Source organism: Homo sapiens, chromosome 4 (genome assembly GCF_000001405.40).
Source record: "Homo sapiens chromosome 4, GRCh38.p14 Primary Assembly".
Classification (NCBI taxonomy): domain Eukaryota; kingdom Metazoa; phylum Chordata; class Mammalia; order Primates; family Hominidae; genus Homo; species Homo sapiens.
In genome coordinates this window covers 153664165-153684231 of record NC_000004.12, presented here as the reverse complement: position 1 = coordinate 153684231, position 20067 = coordinate 153664165, and the positions used below count along the sequence as shown (strand labels likewise).

Genomic DNA, 20067 nt, shown 5'->3' with positions numbered 1-20067 from the left:
CCCCCTCCTTCTGGGGTGCGGGAACCGCCCCTTCCACGGGGCACGTGCGCCGCTGCGCAGCCGGAGGGAACTCTGGACCTCGCGCTGAGTTCCAGGCAGGTGGCCCCGAGCGAGCCCCCGCGGCCGTGCTTCCCAGCAGGCTCCCGCCCTTGACCGTGAGCTAGGCTGCGACAGGCCAGAGGCGGGTCCTGCCCCGACAGCTGCCCCGTGCAAGGCTGGGTCGAAGAAGAGAGCTGGGGGCTTGGCGGAGGTTCCAGGTCAGAGAAAAGCGAATCGAGACGCTAGAGGCGGCCTGCGTGGGATTGGCAACCACAGGGAAAGCTAAGTGCCCAACCAGTATTTTCTTGAAGCTTCGGGCATCCAGGACCTCACATCACCTGAAACACACCGTCTTTAAATTCCACTCCTGATGCTTTTCCATCCATGGAAGCCCGAACTCAGGCTCATGAATCGTGCTTCTCCTTTCCCCACTTTTCCACACTCTATTCACCTGCCAGTACATCTCCAGGGTCCGCTTCCACCCAAAAGTCTATGCCCTCCTGCATTAAAATAGGTTCACCCTCCAGACTAACACAGAACGATTTTGCCTAAGGGAGCAGATAAGGACAGCCCCGGATTTTTTTCCCCAATCCAGTGACAGTCCCTACTGGTGCACCATCTCTAGCACCTACATTCCATCCCACTTCTCACCATGCAAAGATTTGGGCTTCCCACTTCTGTCTACAGTTTGAAGCTAAGCCCTTCCCTTGCCCCTATTCCATCCCTACTTCCCAAAGTAATACCAAAAACAGTCATTGATCAATTTTCTTCATTGCCACAGAACCTAGCTGTCTCCACGGTTAGGAATATGTATAAGGGAAGAAAACAAGCTTTTAAAATTCAACTGCCTTAATGTTAATAATCTACCTTTTATGTTCATAATTACATTTGATTTTCACAAAGTGAGATATGAAGCAGAGCAAGCATCCTTGTTCCTCCCTTACACAAGAAAATGTCATGTGAATTGTATAACATATGACAGAACTGAGATTTGAAACCAGAATTTTACCTTAAATCCAGGGCTGTTTCTCCTACCCTGTTCCACATCCCTAATCCTCTCTGATGGTTGGAACATCAGGGAAACTTAATCAATAGACCTAAATATGAAATTGAGAGGTTTTTGTATACAGGTCACTATCTTACTATTTTTCTTTATCCTGACCATCAGGTTGTCCAGCTGGCTGAAAATGCTTTCTTATTAATTCCAAATCTCCAGCTCTCTACCTTGTGATTTCTGACAAAAGAAAACTTCCTTCAAATTATTTCTCCTGAAACTAAAAACTTGTTTTTTCTCTATTTCTCTTCCCTAGTTGAACTGCCTAAGGTGGATTTTGATGCTATTGCTCTATAATCCCAAAGTCAATTAGAATTGTCTGGCAAAGTCAGATAGAAATCATTTATTTAGCCACAAATCAGTGTCCTCTGCATATATTGAAGGTAGTTGTACACTGTCCACAAAGCTATTAGCACGTCCAATTCAGACACAGTCCTTATACTTGTTCAGTTCTTGACATTTTCTTTTTTTTTTTTTTTTTTTCTGAGATGGAGTCTCGTTTTGTCACCCAGGCTGGAGTGCAGTGGTGCAATCTCATCTCACTGCAGTCTCCACCTCCCAGATTCAAGCAATTCTCTGCCTCAGCCTCCCAAGTAGGTGGGATTACAGGTGCGTGCCACCACGCCTGGCTAATTTTTGTATTTTTGGTAGAGACAGGGTTTTGCTATGTTGACCAGGCTGGTCTTGAACTCCTGGCACCAAGTGATCCACCAGCCTAGGCCTCCCAAAGTGCTGGGATTACAGGTGTGAGCCACAGCACCCGGCCTAGTTCTTGACATTTTTGAAGCACCTTCACATCTAGAATTTCATCTGAATCTTACAATAACACATGCAATAAATAATTCTGATATTACTATTCCTTTGGTTAAAGTGATTAGGGAACTTGCCCAGAGTCGCATGGCTCACAGTTAACATGTGGCAAATCCCAGGTTAGACTCCAAGTCTCCTTCTGTATCTAGATATAAGACCTCCTATAACTCTCTACCAAAAAAAAGAAAAATGTTGATTAAAGTTAGAAAATCAACACGGCATATGAAATGTACTAATATTTGGGGAAAGGGTAACTTTCATTGTATATATTCATAGTTTTGAGCATCTAACTGAAATCCTAAGCTGTTATCTGAAAGTTATCCGAAAACACAAGGCCAGCGTGGTGGTTCACACCTGTAATCCCGGCACTTTGGGAGCCCAAGACAGGAGGATCTTGAGTCCAGGAGTTTGAGACCAGCCTGGGCAAAACAGGGAGACCCCCATCTCTACAAAAATTCAAAAATTAGCCAGGCATGATGGTTTGTAGCTGTAACCCCAGCTACTCAGGAGGCTGAGGTTGGAGGATCGTTTGAGTCCAGTGTGTTGAGGCTGGGAGATAAGAGTGAGACTCTGTTTCGAAAAAACAAAACAAAACACACAGTCTATGTCTTTTTCACATAAAGTATATTGTAATTGTCAGATGAAATAATAAGAAACTCATCCACCGAAAACCACTTAATGAAAATATGCCATAAATCCTGCATTATTTTACAGATCTTTATACATGAACATACATTCTTCAAAATTTTTTTACTCTGCACAGATGTCCGTATGTCCGTAATTTTTTAAGACATTTCAAAAATATTGCCTATGCAAAATAATAGTAGTAAACTTCTAAGTTAACATAGAACCAAGTTCTGAAAACAGAATATTTCATGTTGTATATATTTCCCTTTTAAAAACTAGGAGTTTTTTTTTTTTTTTTTTTTTGTGGGCTCCTGCGGGCCAGGGGACTGAGGCAAGCACCTTGGAGCTGAGCCATAGAAATCAGATCAAAAAGTGTGTTGGAATGAGTAGATGGACAGAATGAATTATGGGGAAGAGGGAACTGCACTCTTCAAAGGTCCCAGCCAGAAGTGGGGCTGGGGGCTGGGGGCAGGGGAAGGGAGCAGGAGGCATGATGACTCCCAAGCTCATTTTTCTTTTTTTTGATATGTTTTATTTATTATTATTATACTTTAAGTTCTAGGGTACATGTGCACAACGTGCAGGTTAGTTACATATGTATACATGTGCCATGTTGGTGTGCTGCACCCATTAACTCGTCATTCACATTAGGTATTTCTCCTAATGCTACCCCTCCCCCAGCCCCCCACCCCACGTTAGGCCCTGGTGTGTGATGTTCCCCACCCTGTGTCCAGGTGGGAATTGTTCAATTCCCACCTATGAGTGAGAACATGCAGTGTTTGGTTTTTTGTCCTTGTGATAGTTTGCTCATAATGATGGTTTCCAGCTTCATCCATGTCCCTACAAAGGACATGAACTCATCCTTTTTTATGGCTGCATAGTATTCCATGGTGTATATGTGCCACATTTTCTTAATCCAGTCTATCATTGATGGACGTTTGGGTTGGTTCCAAGTCTTTGTTATTGTGAATAGTACCGCAATAAACATACGTGTGCATGTGTCTTTATAGTAGCATGATTTATAATCCTTTGGGTATATACCCAGTAATGGGATGGCTGGGTCAAATGGTATTTCTAGTTCTAGATCCTTGAGGAATCACCACTGTCTTCCACAATGGTCGAACTAAAAACTAGGAGTTTTCTTTAACTAAAACCCTTCCCGCTGAGCTTCATTAGTGGCCACTCCAGGCAGGTCTAGGTGTTAATTATCTTCTGCAGCTTAACAGAAATGCTGGGGAATGATCCTAGCCATAGACTGAAGGCCTGTGTCCTCCTGAAATTCATCTGTTGAAATCCTAACCCCCAATGTGAGGTACTGGAGGTGGGCCCTTTGATGAGTGATTAGGTCATGGGGGCAGAAGCTTCATGAATGGGATTAGTTCCCTTCCAAAAGAAACTTCAGAGAGTTCCCTCACCCCTTCCACCACCAAGAACACAGTGAGAAGACAGCTATCTTTGAGCCTGGAAGAGTTCCTCACCAGATACCAAATCTGCCAACACCTTGATCTTGGACTTCCCAGCCTCTAGATCTGTGAGAAATGAATTTCTCTTATCTATAAACTACCCAGTCTATTGGCATTTTTGCTATAGCAGCCCAGATTGACTAAGGCAAATGGCTTCTTAATGGGCTCCAGAAGAATGAGAATGGCAGCATCACTGTTCTCATCAAAAAGACGGAAATGGGAGAAGTCCAGTTCCTTCTTGCACCACTCACTCTTCACAAAGTTTTCAGAAAGCACAAAGACAGTTTTGTGTCTCTTTTCAATGGAGTCAATGATATTGTCAATGATCCACTTGCCAGGAATGAAGTCCCACTTATGAAGACACAACTTGAAGAGGGGATTGAAGTTCTCCAGCTCCTGGACCATAAGGTTCTCCACCCAGTAGGCATCCTGCTCACTATAAGAAACAAATGCGTCATAGCAGATGTCCCTGCTGCAAGCTTTCCTGTGCTTCCTTTTGGCCTAGAGCCAGGCCCACATCATTTTCATGTACCACGGGCTGTGGAAACAGTGGCACAGAACCCCCATGGGCAGGATCAGCAGGAACAGGGCACAGCACATGCCAGACACCAGTGCCACCCTGTGGCACTCCGACACCAAAAGGCAGACGTCCTGAACCTGTTGGCCACACACGTGGGATGGAGAGTCACACAGGTAGTTTGCTGGCCAACCGATAAGAACTTTGGCCAGTGCTTGCTGCTCCTGAGTGAAGGAGAGGAATTCACAGGAGCAAATGAAGTTGTTGCCACCAGCTTCCAAAGTCTTCAGTGTGTGAAAAGAGTCAAGTTGCCCTTTAGAGAAAGTTTTCTTTTCCTGCTTCTTCTCAAAGGGGAAGAAAGCATCTGGTAGGGTCTTCAACACATATCTGAAAATGTAAAGTTATTTAAATTGCAGCTAAATAAAAGTTTACAAGGCTCACTTCTAGTAAGCCTCGTGTCTGGGAAACAATTGGTTAAATTGTGAATTTTTGTGTTAGATAAGTTCAAGTATTCTTCCCTTTCTGACCATTGATAAGTGATATGTAAAGAACCAAGTATATGCTGACCAAGATCAAGGTTAGTCAGTTTTTCTAGAGTTAAGCAGCATTTTCCAGAACTTGCAGATTATTTAGCATGAAATTCAAGGTGTATAGGGAGCTTCAGGCTTCCTTATGGACTGAATACTTCAATTATTCTTCAAACATCAATTTTTCACTGAGATCTAAGAATCCTGATGATTTTGAATGTTGCAACAGAGGATATGCTATTAAGCAGATCTTGACACTTTCAACCTGAAGATCTTTAGTCAATACAAAAGTAGAAGCATGTCTTTAAAATTTTGTCATCATTGAAAATTCCTGTAGCTGAGCTCTGTTTTATTACAGTTTCTATTGGACGTGGTCTTTTCGTGGGATCTCAGCCATCTCATCTTCCATTTTCCTGAACTACATAGGCTTCCAGCTTTACCTCCAACAAGTGATTTGCAAATGCTCTCATTTGATTGCTTCAGCTTATCTTAATATTAGTTTTTTCACAATGAGCCTGACTATAAGGTCCTTTTTTCTTCCTTTTATCTCATATGAAGAACAGTGTTTCCCGCTTCCAAATACTTTTAGAAACTTGAAAGATCAAACAAAACGTCTCAGAGTAAAGTTGACTGCTTCATATGTCAGCTCAAGTGACTGATCTACATTTATTTCAGGCTTTTTAGTTCATATCTCTGGGGATTGGAAACATAAATTTTAAATTAGTTCAGAACAGAAAGTTGGTAAAATATCCTGTTGTTTTTAATTTAGAGAACTTATATATATTTCATGAATTTAAATTTGGGAAAATGGAAAAAGAGAGAAGGAAACATTTCCTCAAGTCTCTGTTGGACTATCCCAGAAGTAAAGAGTCAGACTGTGAGGATGATAGACAAGGTTAGTTGTTAAAGGATAGATCCAAATGCACAAGGCTCCCGAAGACAAGGCAAGTAGTTTTCACCTGTTGTAAGAATTCTGTCAGGCTATAGAAAAGGTGCTTCCAGATTCACACACATCTGCTAAGTATGACTGGATGTAAATCCCATGGGGCAGGGATTTTGTTTTCTTTTATGCACTGAACTATTCTCATCCCCAATAGCATGGCTGGCACTCAATGAATACTTGTTGAGTGGTGGATTGCCTTGCCTTTTCAGAATATGGGCTAGACCTGGAGGAATGGAGTATAAACATCTGAAGTGGCCATTGCAGAGACAAGACTTCAGGGGAAAGAAGCCTAGACCAGGCCCCTTGTCTTGACTGACATCTTGCCTCCACCACACAAGAGCTGACTTCATTTAAAGATGGGAATGAAGAAATATAGTGCACTATTTTCACCCACATAGTCAAGCAAAACCATGAGTGACTGATATCATTTTAATATATATAAGGGTTATATGGCCTTTCAGACCACTTCAGAGAAGAATATGAAAAGAAGGTAGAATTTTATCAAGTTCTAACTTATTTGGAGCACCTTGAAAAATGTACTAAAATATCTTAGCCTGGTTCACGCCTGTAATCCCAACACTTTGGGAAGCCAAGGCAGGTGGACCACCTGAGGTCAGGAGTTTGAAACCAGCCTGGCCAACATGGTGAAACCCCATCTCTACTGAAAATACAAAATTAGCTGGGTGTGGCAGTACCCGCCTGTATTCCCAGCTACTTGGGAGGCTGATACAGGATAATCACTTGAACCTAAGAGGCGGAGGCTGCAGTGAGCTGAGATCATGCCACTGCACTCCAGCCTGGGCAAGACAGAGTTGAGACTCCATCTCTCTCAATCTCTCTCTCTCTATATATATAATATAGATATATATCTATATATCTATATATATATCTTAGCCAAATAACTGCTGAGTCCAACTTTGTGGTATGCCAGTCTGTGTAGGGGTTGCCAACTTCCATGTAGTTGGAAAAACAATGAGTCATGATATGATTCAAAGTCAGGAATATAAGCTGTGTAACCACTGTTTTCTTTTCATTCAGTTTCTATTATTAAGTATAACTAGAGCTCAGTGTGTACTGGTCAGGGTCACAGACAAGACTACTGTCAGCTTCTCAGCCAATATTGCTGGCCAAGTATCTAAGAAGGAATTCCCCAAATTACATACAATGATGTAATCGTTTCCTATGGGTGTGTAAGAATCTTTCAAAGCCTGCAAGGTTTTTGTCCTATTGGGCACTTAGATGGACAGTCTTACTTACTCCAAAAAGTTTCTAGGTGCAACCTCTGGAAGATGTATAATTAGTATTTATATTAATATTTTGTGTTAAAGAATTGGTGGATACTTGATTTTTTAAGACTTGTCATGTTTAAAAGAATTTGGCCTATGAGAGTCGCTTATCATAGCGACTTAAAGTGTATACTTTGGAGAATTTCAGTTCCAAAATGGTGGCATACTGGCTTCATTTCCCTGTCCACAGAAAACTCAAAACAAATAGACAGTGCAGATATTATCACCAGCAATATCCCAGAACTCAAAGATGAGGATGAGTCAGTTCCTGGGGCCACAGACAAGTGAAAAAGCCTGGAATAGACTAAGAGAATCAGATTTCCACATCCACGATGCCCCTCCCCACAATCTGCCTGTCATGAAGCATGGGGAAAATTCCTCCCCACTCATAGTTTCTACCCTGGAAAAAGTGAGATAGAGGTCGACAAGCAGCTTCCCCATCACCTTCGGCTCCCTGGCAGGGGAACTGTACCTGCCTCAACCCACAGAAAGCATCACAAGTGCCTGAAGAAAGAAATATCCCTGCAAACAGCAAAAGTCAAGGTGAGAGGTGGGACTACCTTGCCCAGCCCTGGAAACTCTGCTCTGTAATTAAGCCAAAGGAGATGCCAAATCAGAGTGACTGTTTAGCAGCACTAGCTTTAGGAATTACCTTCCACAGGTCCCTTGGGCATGAACCTCTAGCCAGCCTTCCCAAATTGGCAAGATATCCCCACTGGGACTTCTTCCATTTGGGACTTGCAGCACTCTGATTCTTTGCTAGAGCTGAGGCAAACCTGTGCTTAAGGCATCATCTAGCACCAAAAAGGAGGTGGCAACTTAGTGGTGGGGGAAATAAGAAATTAACAAGTAAATTACAAAGAATCTCTAGGCAAATATACCAAATAAAAACCAAAACAAGCCAGAAAAGACTGGAATAAATAACAAATCCTTCAATGCAAAGACATAGAGGTATATCCACAAGAAACAACAGCAAATAGGGAACCAAAACCTCCCTAACTGGACAAAGCAAGATACCCATGACAGGCCCTAAGAAGATGGCGATACATGAGCTCTCTGACAAATAATTCAAAATAGCAATTTTAAGGAAACTCAGTGGCCTTCAGGATAACACAGAAAAGCAATTCAGAAATTTATCAGAGAAATTTAACAAAGAGATTGAAATAATAATTTTAAAAATCAAACAAATCTTGGAACTGAAAAAACATTTGCTGAAATGAAAAATTTATTAGAGGGTCTCAACAGCAGAATAGATCAAGCAAAGGAAGGAATCAGTTGGCTTGAAGATAGCCTATTCAATATCACACAGTCAAAAGAGAAAAAAGATTGAACAGGAAGAAAGTTTACCTAAAATACATGGAAATGACCAAGTCTAAAATTTATTGTTGTTCAAGAGGTAGTTGAGCAAGAGCAAGGGATGGAAAGCTTATTCAAATAAATAGTAACAGAAAGCTTTCCAAAAATTGAAAAAGATATAAATGTCCATGTAGAGGAAGGTCAGAGAATACCAAACAGATTCATCCCAAATAAGACTACATCAAGGCATAAAATAATCAAACTCCCAAATGTCAAGGATAAAGAGAGGATCCTAAAAGCAGCAAGAGAAAAGAAGCAAGTAACATACAAAGAAACTCCAATTCATCTGGCAACAGACTTATCAACGAAAACCATACAGGCCAGGAGGGTACGCAACAACATTTTCAATGTTCTGAAAAAACCCTGCCACCCAAGAATACTATATTTGGAAAGGCTATTCTTCATATATGAAAGAGAAATTAACTCTTCCCAGACAAACAAAAGCTAAGAGAAGTCACAACCACCAGACCTGTCTTACAAGAAATGCTAAAGGGAGTTCTTCAATTTGAAAGAAAAAAAAAACACTAACATGCAAAAAGAAAACATTTGAAGGTATAAAACCCACTAGTATGAAGACAACCCAAGAATACTCCAGTGCTGTAATTATGGTATGCAATCCACTCAAAACTCTAGTAGGAAACCTATAAGGCAAGTATATGCAAAACAATAATAGCTATAGCAACTTATTAACAGACAGACAATATAAAAGTATGTAAACTGAGAAAAGAAAAGTCAAAATGTGGGGGGTATTGGAGTCAATGTATAGAGGGTTTTTTGTTTTTTAAGTTTGTTCTTTGTTTCTATTCTTTTTTCTGATCTAAGATAAATTATCATCTCTTTAAAACAACTTGTTATATCTATAAGACATTTTTTGTAAGCTTCATGGTGACCACAATGCAAAAACCTATAATAGATACACTAAAAATAAAAAGCAATAAATTAAAACATACTACCAAAACAATCACTTAACCACAAAGGAAGACAGTAAGAAAGGAGTTTAAAAAGGAGAACACAAGCAACAAAATAGCAGTAGTAAGCCCTTATCAATAATAACACTAAATGTAAATGGATTTAATTCTTCAATTAAAAGACATAAAATGGCTGAATGGATAATGAAACAAGATCCAGCTATAAGAAACCCACCTCATCTATAAAAACCCACATAAATTGAAAGTGAAGTGATGAAAAATGATATTCCATGCAAGTAAAAACAAACAAAAAAACAGGAGTAGCTATACTTATGTCAGATAAAATAAAGTAAAAAACTATAAAAAGAGCCAAAGAAGGTCACTATATGAGAATAAAGGGGTCGATTTGCAAGAGGCTATAACAATTATAAATATCTATGCACCCAACAGCAGAGCACCGAAGTATATAAGGCAAACATAATGGAGCTCAAGGGAGACGTAGACTGCAGTACAGTAATAGTAAGGGACTTCAATGGACAAGTCATGCAGACAGCAAATCAACAAGGAAACATCAGAATTAAACTACACACTAGACCAAATAGACCTAACTGACATTTGCAGAGCATTTCACCCAACTGCTGCAGAATACACATTCTTTTGAATCAGCACATGGAACATTCTCCAGAGTCTGCCATATTTTAGCCCACAAAACAAGTCTCAACAAACTCAAAAAGGAGAAATCATATCAAATATTGTTTTTGACCACAATGGAATAAAGCTAGAAGTCAATAACAAGAGGAATCTTGGAAACTACACATACACATAAAAATGAAACAACATGCTCCTGAATGACCAATGGGTCAATGAAGAAATTAAGAAGAAAAAATTAAAATTTCTTGAAACAAATAGAAATGGAAATATAACATACCCAAATCTATAAGATACAGCAAAAGCAATACTAAGAAGGAGGTTTATAGCAATAAATGTCTACATCAAGAAAGTAAAAATACATCAAATAAACTTACCTAATGATACACTTCAAGGAACTAGAAAAGCAAGAACTGTATTAGGGTTCTCTGGAGGGACAGAAGTAATGGAATATATATATAACATATATATAAACTTCCCTTTACATATATATATATATATATACCCTTTATATATATATATATATTCCTTTTTTATATATATGTATTCCATATATATATTCCACATATATATATATTCCACATATATACATTCCACATATATACATTCCACATATATACATTCCACATATATATACATTCCACATATATACATTCCACATATATACATTCCACATATATACATTCCACATATATACATTCCACATATATACATTCCACATATATATATTCCATATATATATATTCCCTTTATATATAAAGAAAGGGAAGTTTATTAAGTTTTAACTCACATGATCACAAGGTCCCACAATAGGCTGTCTGCAGGGTGAGGAGCAAGGAGAGCCAGTCTGAGTTCCAAAACTGAAGAACCTGGAGTCCAGTGTTAGAGGGCAGGAGACATCCAGCACAGGAGAAAGATGTAGGCTGGGAGGCTAGGCCAGTCTCTCTTTTTCATATTTTTCTGCCTGCTTATATTCTAGCCCACTGGCAGCTGATTAGATTGTGCCCACTCAGATTAAGGATGGGTCTGCCTTTCCCAGTCCACTAACTCAAATGTTCATCTCTTTTCACAACACCCTCATGACACACCCAGGATCAATATTTTGCATCCTTCAATCCAATCAAGTTGACACTCAGTATTAACCATCACACCAACCAAAAATTTTTTTCTTTTTTTTGAGACAGTCTCGCTCTGTCACCCAGGCTGAAGTGCAGTGGCACGATCTCGGCTCACTGCAAGCTCCACCTCCCAGGTTCACGCCATTCTCCTGCCTCAGCCTCCCTAGTAGCTGGGACTACAGGTGCCCGCCACCACGCCCGGCTAATTTTTTGTATTTTTAGTAGAGACAGAGTTTCATCGTGTTAGCCAGGATGGTCTCGATCTCCTGACCTTGTGATCCGCCTGCCTCGGCCTCCCAAAGTGCTGGGATTACAGGCGTGAGCCACTGCGCCCAGCCTACACCAACCAAAAATTAATAGGAGGAAAGAAATAATAAAGATCATAGCAGAAATAAATGATATTGAGACTAAACCATACAGAAGACCAACAAAACAAAAAGTTGGCTTTTTGAAAAGATAAAATCAACAAACCTTTAGCTAGACTAAGAAAAAAGAGAGAAGAAATAAATAAAATTAGAAATGAAAAGGGGGGCATTACAACTGATATCACAGAATACAAAGAATCATTAAAGACTAGGATGAACAATTATACACCAACAAATTGAAAAACCTAGAAGAAATGGATAAATTCCTAGACACATGCAACCTACCAAGACTGAACTGTGCATACATAGAATACCTCAATAAACCAATAACAAGTAATGAGATCAAAGTCATAATAAAAAATTTCTCTCAAAGAAAACCCCATGACCCGATGGCTTCACTGCTAAATTCTACCAAATATTTAAATAACTGATACCAATTCTAGTCAAACTCCTCGAAAACAATTGACAAGGAGGGAATTCTTCCAAACTCATTCTACAAAACCAGCATTGTCCTGAGGCCCAAACCAGATAAGGACACAACAACAACAAAAAGAAAACTACAGGCCAATATCACTGATGAACATAGACACAAAAATCCTCAACAAAATACTAGCAAACTGAATCCAACAGCACATTAAAAAGATCATTCACTATGATCAAGTGGGATTTGTCCAAGGGATGCAAGAATGGTTCAACATAAGCAAATCAATATATGTGATTCGTTGCATTAACAGAACCAAGAACAAAAACCATATGATCTTTTTAATAGATGATGAAAAAGCATTTGATAAAATTCAACATCATTTCATGATAAAAACCCTCAATGAACTAGGTGTAGAAGGAATATACCTCACTGTATATGGCAAACCACAGCCAATATCATGCTGAATGGGGAAAAATGGAAAGTTTCTCTCTAAGACCTGGAACAAGACATGGATACCCACTTTGACTGCTTTTATTCAACATAATACTGGAAGTACTGGTGAGAGCAATTAGACAAGAGAAAGAAATCAAGGGCACCCAAGTTGGAAAGGAAGAAATCAAATCAGGCTTGTACACAGATGACATGATCTTATATTTAGGAAAACCTAAATACTTCACACACACAAAAAAAGCTATTAGAACTAATGAACAAATTCAGTAAAATTGCAGGATACAAAATCAAAAAATCAGTAGTGCTGGGTGCGGTAGCTGACTTTGTAATCCCAGCACTTTGGGAGGCAGAGGCAGGAAAATGGCTTGAGCTCAGGAGTTCAAAACCAGCCTGGGCAGCCTGTCTATACCAAAAAAAAATACAAAAATTACCTGGCGATGGTGGCGTGCACCTGCACCTACTTGGGATGCTGAAGTGAGAGGATCACAAGCCCCAGATGTGGAGGTTGCAGTGAGCTGAGATCGCACCACTGCCCTCCATTCTAGGCAACAGAGCCGGGCCCTGTATCAAAAAAAAAAAAATTAGTAACATTTATATACACTAACAGTGAACAATCTGAAAAAGAAATCAAGAAAGCAATTTCATTTATCCATACAAGGAAAATTATAACACACTGGAAAAAGAAGTTGAAGAGAACACACACCAAAAAATGGAAAGATATTTCATGCTCAAGGATTGACAGAATTAATATTTTTAAAATGACAGTACTATCCAAAGCAATTTATAGATTCAGTGCAATCCTCATGAAAAGACTAATGACATTCTTCACAAAAATAGAAAAACAATCCTAAAATTTATATGGAATCACGAAAGACTCTGAATAGCCAAAGCAGTCCTGAGCAAAAAGAATGAAGCCAGAGGCATCACTCTATCTGGCTTCAAAATATACTACAAAGCCATAGTAACAAAATCAGCATGATATTGGCATAAAAAAAAGACACATAGACCAATGGAACAGCATGGAGAACCCAGCTGTAAATCCACACATTTACAGCCAACTAATTTTTTACAAAGGTACCAGAGCATGCAATGGGGAGAGCGCAGTCTCTTCAATAAGTGGTGCTGAGACAACTGGATATCTATATGCAGAAGAATGAAACTAAACTCCTATCTCTTACCATATACAACAATCAAATAAAAATGGATTAAAGACTTATGTCTAAGACCTGAAGCTATGAAAGTTCTAGAAGAAACCTTTAGGGACCGCTCTAGAACACTGGTCTGGGCAAAGAATTTTTACATAAGATCTCAAAAGTACAGGCAACCAAAGCAAAAATAAACAAATAGAATTTTATCAAGCTAAAAAGCTTACACACAGCAAGGAAAACAACCAAGAGACAACTCACAGAGTGAAAGAAAATATTTGCAAACTATCCATTTGACAAGGGATTAATAACCAGAATATATAAGGAGCTCAAACAACTCCACAGCAAAAAAAAAAAAATCTGATTAAAATATGGGGAAAAAGATATGAGGTGACATTTCCTGAAAGAAAATATATAAATGGCCAAGGGGTATAGGAAAAAATGTTCAATATAACGAATCATCAGAAAAATGCAAATCAAAACCACAATGAGATACCATCTCACACAGTTAGAATGGCTTTTATCAAAAAGACAGAATATCAGAGCTGGTAAGGATGTTCTCCACATCCTTACCATTGTACACTGTTGGTAGGAATGTAAATTAATAAAACCACTATGGAAAACAGTATGGAGGTTCCTTTAAAAACTAAAAATAGCGGGGCACGGTGGCTCACACCTGTAATCACAGCACTTTGGGAGGCCAAGGAGGGTGGATCACCTGAGGTCAGGAGTTCCAGATCAGCCTGGCCAACATGGTGAAACCCCATCTCTACTGAAAATACAAAAATTAGCCAGCCATGGTGGCAGGTACCTGTAATCCCAGCTACTCAGGAGGCTGAGGCAGGAGAATTGCTTGAACCTGGGAGATGGAGGTTGCAGTGAGCAAAGATCATGCCACTGCACTCCAGCCTGGGTTACAGAGCCAGACTCTGTCTTAGAAAAAAAAAAATTAACTAAAAACAGGCCCGGCATGGTGGCTTAGACCTGTAATCCTAGCACTTTGGGAGGCCCCTCTGGGATCACCTGAGGCCAAGAGTTTGAGACCAGCCTGGGCAACATGGTGTAAGAAAACCAGTTCCCGTGAGGCTCTAGTCTCATGCCACTGGACCACATTGTCCTCATGCCCTTCAACTTCTGTCACCATCTGCTGACCTCCTAGTTACTCCTCTTACTTTTTGAAGACTTTGGGACCTGCTCAGAGTCTTCTTCTTCTCAAGATCTTCCAGGAGACCCAATGCCTTCAGTGTTCCCACAGATGACCTACCCAACACCCTGGCTGCTCAGTTCCTTTACCTCCTCCTCTGCAGGGATCTTCTCCTCTATGCCCCTTCAGCCACGCCCTGGACTTTGTCATTACCTACAGTTACCCAGCCTTCAGAACGACTCATTCAAACCTCCTGCATCTTGATCAGAGTCCACTGATCCCTCCTCTTTCCAATCCATTTGTTACCTCCATTCTTCTCAGACAAATACTTGGTTCAAGTTGGACCTCACAGCAGAAGAATCAGCAGATCCCTGGGCTTCCCATTCTCATAGCATACTATGGGGAGTCATACTTGGCCCCCCAAATTGCTAATTGCAAAACAGAGAGACCTGACCCCTTTTTATAGGGGAAAAAATCCATCCTGAGTGTGGCCACCAGATGGTCTGAACATGAATGCCAGCTGCCCAGGAGTGCTGGAATGAACTACTTCAGGGAAGTTCAGATAGTGCACAGCCCTTCTTACTGGCTTTTGGAAGAGCTCCCAGACTTCAGAATCTCCATATCACCCTTGCCAAAACCAGAAACTCTTTCCGGTGGTGTTGGTGAACGCAAGGTTGCAGGAGAGGGCTTTACATCATTCTCAATTTTCCTATGTCTTCCCTGTTCTTCTATATGAACAATTGATGTTTTCTTAATATACCTAATGTAAAATACTGTACAAGATGCTTCAAGCCCTCCTATCCCCAAATCAGATTGCTTCTTCTAAAGCTCTACTAAACAGAAATTCTGGAGCCATCACTGTCTCTTCTCCTTATGCCCCTATGTGACAAAACCCCAAACCTAAAAGAACCCTATGACATGCCTTCTTAGAGGAGACCAGGTACTTTATTGCATTTCTTGAGCCAGCTCTCTTGCAATTCCTGCAACACTGTCTCAAGCTTACTCCACTCTTGTCCAGCCACCAGCAGCTTCTGCCTCCTCACATCCTTTCCAGGAATGACTTTATCTCTTATTTCACAGAGAAAATTAAAACCATCTAGAGAAATTCTAACTTCCCACACCTGAACTTATACCCAAACACCCCCTCCACCTTCCTACCACAGTAGAAGAGGGGACCTCCAAGGATGCTGGGTACCCACTTGTCCTATGTAGATGTTATCTAGATGCTCTGCTTATTATCCCTCTCTTTTCTTTTGTGTTCTACTATTCCATCTTATCCAGACCATTCCTACCAATATTCACACATGCTCAAGTTTTCCATATTTATTTTTAAAATGAACAACAGCAAAAAATCTTTTTGGTCTCCTTCAAACTTCTCTCTTTCTCTCTCTCTCCACTTCACAGCGCAACACCTTTAAAGAGTTTTCTGTACCTACTGTCTCTATCTCCTCTCCTTTTACCCAGTCTTCCCTCTATTCCAGTCTGGCTTCCACCTCATCACTCCATCCAAACAGCACTTGCAAAGGTTACCAGGGACCACTGCATTTCTCACTCCCCCAGACATTTTTTGGTCCTCATGTTGCTTAACCTCTCAGAGCAGATGTGACTGACCACTCCTTTCTTTTTCTTTTTTTTTTTTTTTTTGAGACAAAGTCTTACTGTGTCGCCCAGGCTGGAGTGTAGTGGCACAGTCTCGGCTCATCGGCTCATTGCAACCTCCACCTCCCAGGTTCAAGCGATTCTCCTACCTCAGCTCCCAAGTAGTTGGGATTACAAGTACGCACCACCACACCTGGCTAATTTTTGTATTTTCAGTAGAGACGGGGTTTCACCATGTTGGCCAGGCTGGTCTGGAACTCCTGACCTCAGGTGATTCACCGCCTTGGACTCCCAAAGTGCTGAGATTACAGGCATGAGCCATCGCACCCAGCTGGCCTCTCCTTTCTTAAACGTTCTCTCCTTTTCCTTGAATGACCACATACTTAGTCTTTCCTTTAAACCCTCTTTTTCAATGTTATCTCCTTCCCTGCCCCATTTCCCAAGTCTAGGTCCGAGGCCACTTCTCACTGGCTGCTTTCTTCTTAATGAATCTCATTTATGCTGTCCATAACCCAATAACTTTCCAATTTAAATCTCTTGCCCAAATATCTCACCTGAGCTCCAGACCTAGATAGGCAACTGCCTACTTGAGACATTTGTCTCAGAGCATGCACATTCAATATGTCCCAATCTGAGCTCAAAATATTTTTGCCAGGTGTATTAGTCCATTTTCACACTGCTAATAAAGACATACCTGAGACTGGAAAAGAAAAGAGGTTTAATTGGACTTAAAATTTCACATGGCTGGGGAGGCCTCAGAATCATGGCCGGAGGCAAAAGGCACTTCTTACATGGTGGCAGCAAGAAAAAATGAGGAAGATGCAAAAGCAGAAACCCCTGATAAAACCATCAGATCTCATGAGACTTATTCACTACCATGAGAACAGTATGGGGGAAACTGCCCTCATGATTCAAATTATCTCCCACCAGGTCCCTCCCACAACATGTGGGAATTATGAGAGTACAATTCAAGATGAGATTTCAGTGGGGACACAGAGCCAAACCATATCATTCTGCCCCTGGCCTCTCCAAATCTCATGTCCTCACATTTCAAAACGAACAGTTCCCCCAAAGTCTTAACTCATTTCATCATTAACTCAAAAGTCCACAGTCCAAAGTCTTATCTGAAACAAGGCAAGTCCCTTCCACCTATGAGCCTGTAAAATCAGAAGCAAGTTAGTTACTTCCTAGATACAATGGGGATACAGGCATTGGGTAAATACAGCCATTCCAAATGGGAGAAATTGGCCAAAAGAAAAGGGCTACTGGCCCCTTACAAGTCTGAAATCCAGCAGGGCAGTCAAATCTTAAAGCTCCAAAATGATCTCCTTTGACACCATGTCTCACATCTGGGTCACGCTGATGCAAGAGGTGGGTTCCCATGGCCTCAGGCCACTCTGCCCCTGTGGCTTTGCAGGGTATGGCTCCCCTCCTGGCTGTTTTCATGGGCTGGTGTTGAGTGTCTGTGGCTTTTCCAGTTGCATAATGCAAGCTGTCGGCAGATCTACCATTCTAGGGTCTGGAGGACAATGGCCCTCTTCTCACAGCTCCACTAGGCAGTGCCCCAGTAGAGACTCTCTGTGACGGCTCCAACCCCACATTTCCCTTCCGCACTGCCCTAGCAGAGGTTCTCCATCTGGGCCCTGCCCCTGCAGCAAACTTTTGCCTGGACATCCAGGCATTTCCATACATCTTCTGAAATGTAGGTGGAGGTTCCTCAAACCTCAGTTCTTGACTTTGGTGTACCCGCAGACTCAACACCATGTGGAAGCTGCCAAAGCTTGGGGCTTCCACCCTCTGAAGCAACAGCCCAAGCTGTACCTTGGCTCCTTTTAGTCATGGCTGGAGTGTCTGGAACACAGGGCACCAAATCCTTAGACTGCACACAGCATGGGGACCCTGGGCCTGGCCCACAAAACCATTTTCTTTTAGGCCTCTGGGCCTGTGATGGGAGGGGCTGCTGTGAAGACCTCTGGAGACATTTTCCCTATTGTCTTGGGGATTAATATTCAGCTCCTCATTATTTATGCAAATTTCTGCAGTGGCTTGTATTTCTCCTCAGAAAACAGGTTTTTCTTTTCTGTCATATTGTCAGGCTGCAAATTTTCTGCTCTGCTTCCCTTATAAAATGGAATGCCTTTAGCAGCACCCAAGTCACCTCTTAAATGCTTTGCTGCTTAGAAATTTCTTCTGCCAGATACCCTAAATCATCTCTGTCAAGTTCAAAGTTCTACAAATCTCTAAGGCAGGGACAAAATGCCACCAGTCTCTTTGCTAAAACATAACAAGAGTCACCTTTGCTCCAGTTCCCAACAAGTTCCTCATCTCCATCTGAGATCACCTCAGCCTAGACTTTATTGTACATATTGCTATCATGCTTTTGGTCAAAGCCATTCAACAAGTCTCTAGGAAGTTCCAAACTTTCCTACATTTTCCTGTCTTCTTCTGAGCCCTCCAAACTGTTCCAACCTCTGCCTGTTACCCAGTTCCAAAGTTGCTTCCACATTTTTGGGTGTCTTTTCAGCAGCACCCCACTCTACTGGTACCAATTTACTATATTAGTCTATTTTCACACTGCTGATAAAGACACACCCAAGACTGGAAAAAAAAAAAAAAGAGGTTTAATTGGACTTACAGTTCCACATGGCTGGGGAGGCCTCAGAATCATGGCAGGAGGCAAAAGGCACTTCTTACATGGTGGCGGCAAGAGAAAATGAGGAAGATCCAAAAGCAGAAACCCCTTATAAAACCATCAGATCTCATGAGACTTATTCACTACCACGAGAACAGTATGGGGGAAACTGCCCCCATGATTCAAATTATCTCCCACCAGGTCCCTCCCACAACACATGGGAATTATGGAAGTACAATTCAAGATGAGATTTGGGTGAGGACACAGAGCCAAACCATATCACCAAGGCTGATTTTTTTCTGGTGTTATTTCAACATGAAGCTCCACCATCCATCCAGATGCATCTGCTGCAGCTCTTAGTTGTGCTCATTTTACCTTGAATTCATCCAACTCTTTTTATTCCCACCGCCGTCATCCTAGTTCAAGCTACCTCCTCCTCTCTTTCCTGGAGTACAAAGACAACTTCCTAAATGTTCTCCTCTACTGTGCCTTCTCCGTAGCACCTTCTCCATACTGCACTTAGAGTAGCACCATCTAGTTCAAATACAATGGGAGCCACATATGCAATTTTTAATTTTTTTATTATTATTTTGAGATGGAGTCTCACTCTGTCACCCAGGCTGGAGTGCAGTGGTGTGATTTTGGCTCACTGCAACCTCCACATCCTGAGTTCAAGCAATTCTCCTGTCTCAGCCTCCAGAGTAGCTGGGATTACAGGCACCCACCAACACACCTGGCTAATTTTTGTGTTTTTAGTAGAGACAGGGTTTTACCATGTTGGCCAGGCTGGTCTCAAACTCCTGACCTCAAGTGATCCACCCACCTCGGCCTTCCAAAGTGCTGGGATTATAGGTGTGAGCCACCATGGCTGCCCCCAATTTTTAATTTTTAATAGCTGTATTTTAAAATGTTATCAAGAAACAGGTAATTGGTTTTTTGGGGAGTGGGGGAAATGGGTTTTGTTTGTTTTTGAGACAGGGTCTTGCTCTGCCATCCAGACTGGAGTACAATG

General features: G+C 41.2%; 1 pseudogene across 1 annotated transcript in view, besides 1 other annotated feature; it reads right to left on the bottom strand.

The window, feature by feature from the left end:
* Nucleotides 55-234: a silencer, noted in NCBI's record as "silent region_15766". NCBI's record gives its function as "represses an Ori minimal core promoter by ATAC-STARR-seq in GM12878 lymphoblastoid cells {active_cell/tissue: GM12878}" and the evidence as "EXISTENCE:reporter gene assay evidence [ECO:0000049][PMID:35858748]".
* The window catches only part of LOC100419170 (toll like receptor 2 pseudogene), a 41019-nt pseudogene continuing 23997 nt past the window's right edge, over nucleotides 3046-20067 (bottom strand). Inside the window, exon 3 of the transcript NR_134873.1 lies at nucleotides 3046-5730. The product of NR_134873.1 is annotated as a toll like receptor 2 pseudogene (transcript). The remainder of the gene's footprint in view (nucleotides 5731-20067) is intronic.